This window comes from Homo sapiens, chromosome 7, assembly GCF_000001405.40.
Source record: "Homo sapiens chromosome 7, GRCh38.p14 Primary Assembly".
Lineage (NCBI taxonomy): Eukaryota > Metazoa > Chordata > Mammalia > Primates > Hominidae > Homo > Homo sapiens.
Genome location: NC_000007.14, coordinates 42,370,431 through 42,385,230, shown reverse-complemented (window position 1 = coordinate 42,385,230; position 14,800 = coordinate 42,370,431). Strand labels below are relative to the sequence as shown.

At 37.0% G+C, this 14,800-nt stretch overlaps 1 annotated feature.

Annotated features, from left to right (window-relative positions):
• Positions 12,935–14,134: an enhancer, noted in NCBI's record as "MED14-independent group 3 enhancer chr7:42410696-42411895 (GRCh37/hg19 assembly coordinates)". NCBI's record gives its function as "activates an origin of replication core promoter dependent on BRD2, BRD4, P300/CBP and CDK7 cofactors, and independent of MED14, by STARR-seq in HCT116 cells {active_cell/tissue: HCT116}" and the evidence as "EXISTENCE:reporter gene assay evidence [ECO:0000049][PMID:35650434]".

The window sequence follows — 14,800 nt, the reverse complement described above, 5'->3', positions numbered from 1 at the left end:
ACTGGTATTTTTGGTCAAATACCAGTCCAGTTGCTGCTGTGAAGATACTTTTTGGATTTGGTTAACATTTAAATTAGTAGACTTTGAGTAAAGCAGATGACCTTTCACAATGTGAGTGGGGCTTGTCCAATCATTTGAAGGTCTTGACCTTAACATCTACAGGACATATGCACACATATTGAATACTGCCCTCCAAAATGGTTTCACCAGTCTCCATTCCTGTACACATTTTCTAAATCTATTAGCAAGGGCATCATTTTCCCAAACTTTTAGGTGAAAAAAAAAAATAGTATTTTAATGCTCTTTTATTTGCAAATTTTTACAATTAATGAGGTCGAATTTTTTCCAGCACAGATATGGTCATTTGTTTCTTCTTTCATAAATTGCCTCTTTTTATCCTTTATTTTCCTATTTGGATAATTATGCCTTTCTTATTGATTTCTAGATAATTTCCTCACCTATAGTTTGCAAATATATCCCATTTTTGAGTGTTAATGTGCTCAAGTATATCAACAGGTTTACAACTCCTGCCTAAGTGTGATATTTTAAAAAATCTTCTTTGTCCCAAGATTATGTTTATATTCATGTGTATTTTCTTTCATATTTTGTATACTCTTTTTTTATATTTACATTTTTAATTTGTCTGGAATCTATGTGGTTTATGGTCTAAGTCAGAAAATTAAATTCATATTTTTCAAAATGCTTTGTCAGTTGCCTCAACACCTTGTATTCATTAAATACATTCTGTCTTCACTTATTTGAAATTCTGCATTTATCATATATTAAATTCTTAAGTATATTTGCTCTCTTTTAGAAATCTGGTTTATTTCTTTAATTTGATATTCTAGTATTATGCTGTTTCTAAATCCTGTGTCTTCGTAAATATGTGTGAAGGTCTTGATAAAGCAAATTTTCCCCTCTTCATTAATTTCCTAATATTTACTTTTGATATTTTTATTTCTTTATTTTTCCAGGCCAACTTTGAGATTATATGGGCATTGGGTCCTTCCACACCCATAAAAATCATCAACTTCTCTTCCTTTGTCTCCTAATCATCATTGTAATTTTCATCCTGGTGAGCATTTCACTGAATTTATCTTAAATGTTTAGAATTAGAATAAGGAGAAGAGAATAGAAATACTTGTATCAGTCAGGGACCTCCAGAGAAACAGAACAAATTAGAATATGCATGTCTATGGAGAGAGGTTTATTTTACGGAATTGGCTCTTAAGATTGCAGAGCTGACAGGTCCTAAATCTGCAGGACAGGCCAGCAGGCTGGAGACTCAGGGAAGATCTGATGTTGCCCAGTCAAGTCTGAAGGCAGTCAGGAGGAGAATTCCTTCTTCTGCTGGGGATGTCAAGCTTTCCTCTTAAGACCTTCAACTGATTGGACAAGCCCCAATCACATTATGAAACGTCATCTGCTTTACTAAAGTCTACTAATTTAAATGTTAGTCAAAACTAAAAAGTATCTTCACAGCAGCATCTGGACTGGTATCTGACCAAAAACTAGGTACCATGGTCTAGCCACATTTACATAAAATTAACCATCACAATAGTCATAAGATTTGGTTTTCTCTTACTGAAATGCGGTATAATTGGGATTTATTCAAATCTTCTTTTATATCCATCCATAAAGTTTTGTAATTTTTCCTTATTGGCCTAACAATTCCTGTAAAGATTATTTGTAAGTAGTTAATAATTTTTGTAATCATGATGAGTTTAACACTTTTATTTTATTACATGTGCTCATATGTTGTTGCTGACACTAAGAAACCTATAGGTCAAAAGATGCAAACTAGGGCCACATGAGCACGGCAGCACCCAGCCAGGACTCTGCTGCAGCTGCCGTTTGTAGATGGAGCTCTCTGTCTCCAAAGAAGCACAGGCCTGTTGTTCTTCTGGTTGTGCTACAGTAAAATGAACCTGGGTTTTCTGAACATGTGGTTGAATGTCAGTTGCTACCTATCGTTTCACTTGTGATATTGATTTTATTAATCTTAAAGTTATGTGAATGTTAACTATTTCTCATATCTATATCTTATTCAAAATCTGGGAAAATAAAAGACTAAGGAAAATAAATCTTTTTTTCTCTAAAGAGAGAATGGTTATTTTTCAAAGGGAAGAATATCATTTCCAGTGTAATATGAAAATTTAATTAAGATGTCATTGTACAACCAACCAGAGTTTGAATATATATATGTATATGTACGTGTGTGTGTGTGTGTGTGTGTGTGTGTGTGTGTGTGTGTGTGTATTAGTCCATTTTCATGCTGCTGATAAAGACATACCCAGGACTGGGCAATTTACAAAAGAAAGAGGTTAATGTACTTACAGTTCCACATGGCTGGGGAGGCCTCACAGTCATGGCAGAAGTCAAGGAAGAGCAAGTCACATCTTACACAGATGGCAGCAAGCAAAGAGAGAGAGTTTGTGTAGGGGAACTCCCGTTTTTGAAACCATCAGATCTCATGAGACTTATTCACTATCATGAGAACAGCACAGGAAAGACCCACCCCCATGATTCAATTCTTTCCCCCAGGTCCCTCCCACAACATGTGGGAACTATGGGAGCTACAAGATGAGATTTGGGTGGGGATGCAGAGTCAAACTATATCAGTGTGTGTGTGTGAGTGTGTGTATATATGTTTGTGTGTGTGTATATTTATAGATTTGCAAAAGATAAGTTAATTAAATCTTAATAAACTGAAATGAAAACCAAAAATTTGATTCAGAATTTGAATAAAATGGTTGGGCTGCAGTAAAATGAAGTCATATGTTAAATAGAAAAAATTCCCTGGGCATTGAAACATTTTCCAGATAATGAGTTTATATAGGAGTACCTATTCAGTGCAGCAAAAATTGCATGTCTCTAACAAATATGCATTTACAAATTAAGTCTGCTGGGAAATACTATGTTGGACAAGACTCCATTCCCCGGCCTCCTTTGTGGCAATGCTGGCCACGTGATTAAGCTGACACCAATACAAAGTGCAAATGTATGAAATGTGAACAAAGGAGATGGATCTTAATGAGGTATCACTTGCTAAGGAAAATGCCTGCCTTATACTTCAGCAATTTCTCTTTCTAAAGATGGATTCCCAGAACATCACTTCAAATATGTGGACAAGTTAAACACCCCAAGAAAAGCCAGAACAAGATGGAGCTTGGGTTTCTAAATGACTGCAGCAGGCAGTGCAGCTCAGCCAGCCTAGTCCCCACACACCTTGAAACTATTACATGACAGTAAAACCAACTTCCTTTTTTTCCTTTTTCTTTCCTGCCACTGTAGTTCTGGATCTCTTTGTTACAGAAGCTTGAATTTTTGCCCAAATATCCTCAGTTTGTTGAAAATATGGCTAAGAACTTTGAGAAGAAGTTTCATAGAATTGTAAAATTACTTCTGGTATTTTCTGTCATAGCTGATAACACACACACACACACACACACACACAAAATACCACTTTATTAGCTGTTTTAAGGTGTCCTTGAGAAATTTTATGAACCAGAAGAAATTTTGGAGGAAGTATCCATGGCAACACAAAACAGAGAATAACTTATTTTTGGTGTCTGAAGAATTTTAATACAACTTGCCCAAATTGGTAAGTCTACCTGCAGATGATGCTCCTTCCATGCCAGGTGTTAGCACCCTATTGCCAGGAAATCTACACCTTGCCAGGAAAATGAGAGGTGGAGACTTTTCATTTTACATGTTGCTGCATTTACTAGGACACACTTTGAGCTTGAAAAAGTAAAAACAGAATATAGCATGCATCTCGGGTTATTAACACCATAATCTGGATATACTCAAGTGGCCTGACCCTTGGACAAATGTTCACTGCTGTCCTTGATGCCTTCAATACACATTACAGTAATCTGCTGTTCTGTGCAGAGGGAAGTAATTTAGCAGAATATTAGAAACAAACTGACTTGTTGGCTCATCCAAGGGATATTCTCCACATCAGTTCACAAAGACTCAACCAAAGACATGGCCTTTGCTTTGACAAATAGTCCTACATACTTTGAAAATACCCTATAAGAGACTCCATAGACAGATACCCAGTTATTGTTTGACACGCTTAGACGTGATGAAATTGGGTCTGGTGGATTTTTCTACATTGCAATCAAATTCCAAAGACAAAAATATGCTAGCATGAACTATATTCCCTAAATAGTGAGGTTTAAGACTGAATTTAAAAACAGGTTCTTTTAATAATTAACACAATGGGCTTACAATGCACTGGGCATCATCCCAAAATTTTACATATTTAATTTAATCCTTCCTCTAATGTAGGTGCTGTTATTGTCATCACCTTACAGACCACTTTACTGAGGCCCCGAGAGGTTGAGAAATTGGTCCGAGGTCACAATTCCTAAGTGTTGGAGCCAGGGTAGAATCCAGGCAGTGTGGCTACAGAGTTAATGCTCTTAACCTTGAAACCATATTGTTCATACAGTCCACTATATCCTAACTTCCGCTTTTGAGAAAACAACTAAGTGATCCCTTCACCTTTATCAGAATAAGACTGAAGGAAGAGCTACAGATGAAAGTTTCTGAGCTCAGTACAGTACTGTGGTACATATTTACAACATTACATCAGAATTCCACAATTCTACAAATATCTGGGTGTGATTTCACAGAATAGAAAAATCATTGTGTAAGTATTCTGTTAGGTTAGGAATTTCCTAAATTTGTGAGCAGCTGTTTTCAATTATGAAATATGAAACTATATAAAACAAAATATTGCTCCCAGTTAAAGAACTCAAGGTTGAATTCTGTTCTACACATTAAGATGGAAACAAAAAACTTGGTATTTATATCTTAATACACAATGTGTCATATTTTTCAGATTTAAATCAGCATTCCCCAAGTGAGAAAAAAATTATAAAACAAAATTGTTCCAATTTATCAATTTGTATTTTTCTATTTCAAATTTAAAATATAATCTTCAGTATCACAGATGTTTATATTGCTTGTTTAAACCAAAATTCAATAAAAGAAAAAATTTGTATTACCTTCCTAACAGTTTATTTTATTTCATTCATTTTCATTATGGGAAAATGCTGCAAGCATTTGAACTGTGACCCTGGTTATAGATCAGCGTGGGCTTATTGATTAACTGGCAACCTTACTAAACTCTCCGTAGTTCTAATATTTTCTTCAATGAGTTTTGGGGATTCCAGAGGAAAAATGATAAGAACAAATAAAATAACATTACATCTTTCTTTCTAATATTTATAAATCCAATTTAGTTTTACAGCTTAATAGTTGGCCTTTCCAGATTAAATTTCAGTGACAGTAAAATAAAGATGATAGTGGTGGATTTTTTGTCATTCAGAGGTATAATTTTTATACAGTGCAATTAACAGATCTCAAGTGTACAGTTCAGTGAGTTTGGCAAACCCATACTCGACATAAACCACGTGTCAGTCAAGATATAGAACATCAAGAAGAGGGTATGTTCTGCTGTTGCTTGTTCCATTCAGCTGGAAGACAGCTGTTGCAGGTTCTGTTGCCATAGGACATCCCCCAATCAGAGGAATATCAGAGTTTCATAAAAGGCCTGCAGAGCCAATGGAACCAGATGTGACAACCAGCCCTGGCCTTTGGCATCCACCATACTTCTTCCCCCTCCTGAACTCCTGACCTGATGGGGTGCTTGTTCTTTGGGTGGGTTTATAGATGACTTCTTGGACAAAGGGTTGACTGGCACAGAGGCGGCAAAGAGGTAGTGATCAATGGAGTTCTGTGGGTTCACTCCTTATTCTCCCTCTTCCAAACTCTGTAGTATGATGAGAACTAGCGTGTGTGTTTTGACCCTGCCTGTGCATACATTACAGCATAGGGCAGCTGATATTCCCAGGGAGATTTAAAGTCATAGGTCTAAAGAATAGATAAGAGAACAACACAACCACTTAAAAAATCACAAATGCAAAAAACAGATTGCAGAAAGGAGAGTTATTAGATCATTGAGCAAAGAATTTTAAATAAGCATAATAATACCTCTAAGGCATAAGGAAGCATATTAATATGAAGCAGGAAGAAGTCATAAAAAGAACCAAATGAAATATAAAATATGAAAATTATAGGAGTCGAAATAAAAAACATAATTCAATGCAATCTGAATCAAAATTCTGACTGGAAGTTTTGTAAAGGACTTGATAGATTTATTTTAAGTGTCTATTGAAGAATAAAGGTCTATGAATAGCTAAGTTAACTTTTAAATAGGAGGCAACTTTGAGAGGAAGAACTTGCTCTCCCTAATATTAAGACATACCACAGTAATAGCAACAGTATAGGACTGGCATGGAAACAAATAAAACATAACTGGGAACTTGGAGATAGATCTACCTATAAATGGAAACTAATGCATTATAAAGAAGAAAACTAAGTCAAGGAGCTAAAAAGAAGGTGATCACTACGCAAAGAAAAATAAAACTGGATCCTAACCTAAAATCGTATACAAATGTTATAGGTAGATAAAACACCTAAAGGTGAAAGATAGAACTAAAATGTTAATAGAAGTTATTATAAGAACATATCTTCATGCCTCAAGGATAGAAAAATTATTCATTTTTGGTTTGTTTGTTTTTAATCTCACAAATTAGTACTTTATGCAAAGCTTACACATATATACAACTGTGTAACTATTACAAAGATCAAACTATATATAGATATTTGCCACCCCAGGAAGTTCCTTTGTGCTTTTTCTCAGGAAGAAAAGAATTCCAGCCATCATTCAGGCAACTATTAGACTAATTTTGACTATTCTTGAACATTATAGAAATGTAATTAGGCAATATCTCCTCTTTTGAGTCTGACTTCTTTTGCTTAACAAATGTTTTTGAGATTCATCTACGTTGTTGTGTGTGTCTGAGTTCTTTTTATTGTTGTGCAATATTCCATTGCATGAATGTAGCACAATTGTTTATCCTTTCTCCAACTGACACTGGAGTTCTTTTCCTGCTTAGGGACCATTATGAAAAAAGTTGCTATGGCCATTTCGCACATCTCTTTTTGTAGTCATATGCATTTATTTTTCTTGGGTCTATACCTGGGAATGGAATCGCATGCCTATAGGGTAGGCGTATATTTAGTATTATTAAACTGCCAAACAGTTTTTCCAACATGTTTGAACAAAGTTACATTTCCACCAACCACCCATGACCAGTTGCAATTTGTTCTACATCCTCACCAAAACTTGATATTTTCTATCTCTTTTTAATTTTAGACATTCTGATGGATGTGTAGAAGTATCACACTGTGGTTTTAATTTGCATTTCCCTAGTGATTAATAAAGTTGGGCACCTTTTAATATGCGTATTAACCACTTAAATTCCCTCCTTTGTGAGGAGATTATTCAAACTTTGCTCCATTTTTAATAAATATCTATTGATATGGTTTGGCTGTATTCTTACCCAAATCTCATCCTAAATTGTAGCCTTTATAATTCCCACATGTCGTGGGAGGGACCCAGTGGGAGATAATTGAATCATGGGGGCAGGTCTTTCCCATGCTGTTCTTGTGATTGTGAATAAGTCTCATGAGATCTGATGATTTTATAAAGTGGAGTTCCCCCATACCTGCTCTCTCTTGCCTGATACCATGTAAGACGTGACTGTGCTCCTCTTTTGCCTTCTGCCATGATTGTGAGGCCTCCCCAGCCATGTGGAACTGTGAGTTAATTAAACCTCTTTCCTTTATGAATTACCCAGTCTCGAGTATATCTTTATTAGCAGCATGAAAAGGAACTAATACATCTGTCTTTTCTTTTTTGATTGTAGAAATTCATTATATAATCTGAGTACATGTTATTTGACAATAAATTTATCGTGATTATCTTCTCTTAGTCTGTGACTTGCCTATTCACATTCTTAATGACATTGTTTGATAAACATAATTCCATAACTAAACCAGAGTTAAAATTACACTATGTTTAGTGCTTATAGGATGCTGCTAGTGCTGGCTTTGCTACCCCAAGGTTGTTAAGATATTGTTGTATATTTTCTTTGAGAAGATCTAAGTATTATTTGGGTATAATCCACCATAAATTAATTTTTGAGTATTGTGTAACATCAACAGTCAAGGTTCATTTTCTTCTTTATACAGATATAAAATTGCTCCAGCATTATTTTTTTAGAATATCATCCTTTTCCTACTGAATTACAGTAGTGTCTTTGTTGTAAATCGAGTGACAGAATATGTGTGAGTCTATTTCTGGACTAATTTATACCAATGGAATATTTGTCTATTGATCAAGTGCTAATTGTATTTATTTATTTTTTTTTTTTGAGATGGAGTCTCACTCTATCGCCCAGGCCTACTCTCGGCTCACTACAACCTCTGCCTCTCAGGTTCAAGTGATTCTCCCACTTCAGACTTCCGAGTAACTGGGATTACAGGTGTGCACCACCACGCTCAGCTAATTTTTGTATTTTTAGTAGAGACAGGGTTTCACCATGTAGGTCAGGCTAGTCTCAAGCTCCTGACCTCAAGTGATCTGCCCACCTTGGCCTCCCAAAGTGCTAGGATTACAGGTGTGAGCCACCACGCCCAGCCTGCTAATTGTATTTCAATTACTGTAGCTTTATAGCAAATTTTGAAATCTGGTAGTGAAAATTTCCTGTTTTCTTCAAGATTACCTTGCCTCTTTTAGGTCCTTTGCATTTCCCTATAATTTTAGAATTTAGAAATCTGCCAACCTCCAAAAATTTTGCAGAAGTTTTGATTGTGATGTTCTGAATACATAGATCAATTTTAAAATAATTGCCAGATAAACAAATAAGTCTTTTAGTCTATGCACCTGATATATGATCATGGCTTCCATGATCCTTACCTCCTGGGGTACATTCTTTTCTATCATCCCCTTCTTTTGTGTGTAGGTGGGACCTGGAACTTGTTTCAAACCAATAGAACATGACACAGATGATGGGCTGTCACTGCTTTGACTACATTACATTATTATAAGGCTCTATCTTACTATTAGTTTTACTTTTGAAGCAAACTGCCATCATGTAAACTGCCTAAGGAAAGGGCCACATGGCAGGGAACTGCAAGCAGCCTGGAGAAGCTGAGCATCACTTCCAGCAGACAGCTAGCAAAGAGGCACACAGTTCTACAACTACAAGGAAATGAATTCTGCTAACTACCTAAGTAAGTGTGGGAGTGTGTTCTTTTCCAGTCAAGTCTCCAGTTGAGAGCCCTGCTACCATCAGCTAGTTTGCAAACTGGTAAGAACCTGAGGCAGATAACCCAATTTAGCTGTGCCCAAGTTTCCGACCCACACAAACTGTGAAATAATAAATATGTGTTAAGTTACTAAGTTTGTGGTAATTTTATACACAGCAACAGATAAATAGTACACCATTTATTTAGGTCTTCTTTAATATCAGCAATGTTTCATGATTTTCAATGTAGAGGTCCTGCATATCTCTCAGTGTATTATAAATGACATTTTATCTGATTTTCTAATTGTTTATTGCTAGCATTCAGAAATAATATTGTTTTTATGCTGACCTTGAATTCAGAAATCCTGTTACATTCACTTATTGACTATAATAGTTCATTTCTAGATTCCTTTGAATTTTCTATCCAATGTTATCTGAGAATAAAGACTGTTGTACTGTTTTCCAGTCTTTACATATTTTGCTTCTTTTCTCACTTCACTGAGCTGATTAGAACATCTACTACAATACTGAATGTAAGTGGGAATATGGGGCATCTTTGTTGCATTCCTAAAATCAGGGAGAAAGTGTTTAATATTTCTCCATTAAGTATATCACTATCAGTAATATTTATAGATATTCTTTTTAAAATTAGAAAGTTCTCTCTTCCTAGTTTGCTGAGGGTTTCAAAATGAATCAGTGTTACGTTTTATCAACTGCTTTTTCTTCATCAAATCAGATTTCATAATTTTTCTCATTTGATTTTTAAATGTGGTGATTATTGAGTTCAGAATGTTAAAATAAATTTTCATCCCCAGAATGAGCTCTACTTGAACATGATTTATTATCTCTTTTTTATGTTGCCAAATGTTGGCTGCTAATAATTTGTTCTTGAGAGACATCAGCTTTTATTTTCCTTTGTTCTTATGTCCTTATGTGGTTGTAGTATCAAGATTATATTCACTTTGTAAAACAATGAAAAGATGTTTTCCTTTTTATTCTCAGAAAGAATTTATGTAAGATTAATAAATTTTGTATTAAATGTACAGGAGAGGTCACTGAATTTATGTAAGATTAATAAATTTTGTATTAAATGTACAGGAGAGGTCACCAGTAAAGCCATCTGGTCCAGAAGTTTTATTTGTGGGATGATATTTGATTCATTTTATGAAGATATTAAATACTTAAATTTTTGTGCTGCTTCTTGTGTTCGTTTTGATAAGTTTTTTTCCCCAAGGAATTTGTTCATTTCATTTAGATTTTCAATTTTAATAGCATAAAGTTCTTTAGAATATCCTTGCATCATTCTTTAGATGTTGTCAAATCTGTAGTAATTGTTCTCTTTTAAACATACGATGGTAATTTGTGTTTTCCTTCTCTCTTGTTTTTTTTCTTGTAGCATCTTACCAGTGATGTATCAATGTTTTTTAAAAGAACCAACTTTTGACCTGGTTGATTTTCTCTATTATATGTCTGTTTTCTTTTTCATTTACTCTTATTTTAATTATTCCCTTTCAGCTCAGAGTAATTACTAAATTCTATTATAATTGCTTCTTTGATCTATGAGTCATTTACAAGTGTGTTTTTAAAAAAAATTCTGAGAGATTTTCAATTTATCTTCCTGTTTTTGAATTATAATGTAATTCCTCAGTCTCTCTCTCCTCTTTCTGGGGGGACCCCACTTACACTTCTGTTAAACCTTCTATGTCCTACATGGCTTTTACCCTCTATCTCTAGGATTATGGTGTTTTGTTTTTCATTTTTTTTCTCTCTATGCTTCCATTTAGCTATACCAATCTCTTTTTGAACTCATTATTTCTGATTTCTACTCTGTCTCTCCAGCCCGAGGTTAATTCATTCACTGTTTCATTTATTTCCAATATTTCAATTATTAGATATCCATTTGATTATTTTAATTCTGTATTAAAATACTTTTTGGTTCACCCATCTTATCCATCTTTTCCTGAGTTTGCTTTAGCATATTACCGAGAGTTACATGAAGTCCTCCTCTACAGGACCAACACTAAGATGCAGCACATGAGGCACCCAGAGCACATCATCAAACGAGGTCTTCATTCTGAGTCATGCAAGTTTGCACCCCAGGCACTTTCCCCCCCAGGCCTAATTTTTCAGAAACTTGTTTTATTTCTGGAGCCTATCCTTCCTCCTAGGGTATGGCCTTCCTGGGTTCTCAGAAGTGTTTACCAAAGTCCTTCCACTCCGACTAGCCAAAATTTTAACATATTCCACTCTGACCTCTAAAATATCTATTCAGCTTTTGGCCTCTCAGTGCTGTTGAGTTCTGCCTTCTACAGTCCCATCTTGGGCATGCACAGCTTTGGAGTTGGCTGAGGAAACAAGCAATATTTTCAAACTGATTTTTTTGAGCTTCCTTTCTGCAGCTTCCTCTCATCCAGTGCCCAACCACACAAATCCCAGCCACCCTAGCAATCCAAACTCCCATCTTTGTTTATTTTATTGTATGAAATTACTGCTGTATGCGGGGACTCTATTTTTCTGTGCCATGGTTTGGAAAATGCCCTTAGGGAGTAAGTCTGAGTAAATATGGAGCTCACCTCCCATGCTTCTCATTTCTCCAAAAATATAGCACTGTGTTGGTTGCTGTCCAACACTGGTGAGCAGTTTCTGACTTTTTACAGTTTATACAGCTGTGGATAGCAGGTCCAGATAACAGGTATCTGCAAAGGCCTTCTCAGACACAATGCCAAAAGCATTAACAACTGGAAAATTTTGATGTGTTTCTTTATCTAAAATTTTATAATTTCCATTCAAAACAAGAGGATTACTGGGGAGTAGGAATGTGAATAAGGAATGGAAGGGGATGGATAAATAAGTAAACAGTCAAGACAGAGGGCTTTCCTGGACAACAATGTGAGTGTGCCACAAATTCATCCCTCCACATCTATTGCACATAAAAGATGTCTCTGCTGGAACATGGAAAGATGGCCATAAGAATTGGGATGGCAGTAATAGATTGGAGGTGTGCTGAAATAGCAGTCTACTTGCTATACAAAGTAGCACCTGAAGATTAGCAAGGAATGGCTGCCTTATTACTGAGAGTTACATGAAGTCCTTCTCTACACAGGGCCAACACTAGGCCCTGCTGTTTGGTTGAATCTTTTTCTAGGTCTTTGAATGAGTAGATAAACAAAGATGAGAGAGAAAGAAGCAACGGGGCAGATAGCATGCTTGTCAACCCCGCAATCAGCATCTTAGAGGCAGAAGAATGAATGCACCATTTCCCTTTTTAGCACAAGCCCTAAATCCTTGCTTCCTGGTATGCATGGTGGAGGAGATGCAAAGCACCCTCCACTCTTTGCTCAGACAGTTTCCGCTTCATTAAACAAAGCCAAGATTTTCCATGAGATAAGCCCTGCTTGCCTTTTTCTCAGTCCTGTGTCATCTGACATGTAATTAGTGTCAATTCCTCTCAGAATCTAACATTAGGTCAGCTGACTGTCTTAGCTTTCCTGTGTCTTCATAGATATTTTAGGGACCCATCAAGGGAGAATACACTGCAGGCTGCTAGCCAGTTGCCTATTCAAACAGATGTCTCATTGGAGTCATTTATTATTTTAGAGGACTTCATTTTTCAAATCTTCCCAAACCTTTCTCAGTTATAGTTTTTTCCACAGCCTCATAGCACAGAATCATTGATAACTTTTTATTTAAAATTTTTCTGAAATTTAAAATACGTTTATATACTTTTAAAAGTGAGGGGGTTTGATTCAAAGATAGAAAATAACTAAAATATGTAAGAGTAGCTAATAAAAAATATAAAGACAAGTAAATAAAAATAACTAAGTCCTGAATACAGACTTTTCTAAATACATTAGCCTTGTTCCTAACAGCTAAAATGCTGCCAGTCCCTAAATTACAGTATAAATGAGTAATGCCTTTCTAATCAAAATCTTAGTGAAATTTTAAAATGTTATTTCAAAATTTACCTGAATTAACACAATTAAATATCTCACATGTTTTTTAAAAGATGAGTTGGGAGAGGAGAGGAAGAATTTATCTTACCAAATTTGAAATATGATTTGTTATAAAAATAGCTGACTCACTGAGTCATAATGGCCCATGAACAGACCCTAAAACACATATGACTTTTTTTCTTGCTCTGTCACCCAGATTGGAGTGCAGTGGCATGATCTTGGCTCACTGCAATGTCCACTTCCTGGGTTCAAGCTATTCTTGTACCTCAGCCTCCTGAGTAGCTGGGAATCACAGGCCTGTGACACCACACCGGGCTAATTTTTGTATTTTTAGTAGAGAAAGCTAATATGGTTTGGCTCTGTGTCCTTACCTAAATCTCATCTTGTAGCTCCCATAATTCCCATGTGTTGAGGGAGGGACCCATTGGAGATGTTTGAGTCATGGGGGTGGGTCTTTCCTGTGCTATTCTCACGCCAGTGAATGAGTCCCATGAGATCTCATGGTTTAAAAAATGGAAGTTTTGGAGTCGCTTCCAAGATGGCCAAATAGGAACAGCTCTGGTCTGCGGCTCTCAGCGAGATCGACGCAAAAGACTGGCGATTTCTGCATTTCCAACTGATGTACCTGCTTGATCTCACTGGGACTGGTTGGACAGTGGGTGCAGTCCATGGAGGGTGAGCCAAAGCAGGGCAGGGCAACGCCTCACCTGGGAAGCACAAGGGGTCAGGGGATTTCCCTTTCCTACCCAAGGGAAGCCATGACAGACTGTACCTGGAGCAATGGTACACTTCCGTCCAAATACTGCACTTTTCCCATGGTCTTAGCAACTGGTAGGCCAGGAGATTCCCTCCCTCGCCGGGCTCGGTGGGTCCCATGCCCATGGATCCTTGCTCACTGCTAGTGAAGCAGTCTGAGATTGACCTGCAAGGCTACAGCCTGGCTGGGGGAGGGGCATCTGCCATTGCTAGGCTTGAGTAGGTAAACAAGGTGGCCAGAAAACTCAAACTGGTGGAGCCCACCACAGCTCAGCAAGGCCTACCGCCTCTCTAGACTCCACCTCTGTGGGCAGGGCATAGCTGAACAAAAGGCAGCAGACAACTTCTGCAGACATAAACGTCCCTATCTGACAGATCTGAAGAGAGCAGTGGTTCTCCCAGCACAGCATTCAAGCTCTGAGAATGGACAGACTGCCTCCTCAAGTGGGTCCCTGACCCACATGTAGCCTGACTGGGAGACACGTCCCAGTAGGGGTTGACAGACATCTCATGCAGGCGGGTGCCCCTCTGGGATGGAGCTTCCAGAGGAAAGATCAGGCAGCAATATTAGCTGTTCTGCAATATTTGCTATTCTGCAGCCTCTGCTGATGATACCCAGGCAAACAGGGTCTGGAGTGGACCTCCAGCAAACTCCAACAGACCTGCAGCTGAGGGACATGTTAGAAGGAAAATGAACAAACAGAAAGGAATAGCATCAACATCAACAAAAAGGACATCCACACCAAAACCCCATCTGTAGGTCACCAACATCAAAGACAAAAGGTAGATAAAACCACAAAGATGCAGAGAAACCAGAGAAGAAAAGCTGAAAATTCCGAAAACCAGAGCACCTCTTCTCCTCCAAGGGTTTGCAGCTCCTTACCAGCAATGGAACAAAATAAACAGAGAATGACTTTGACA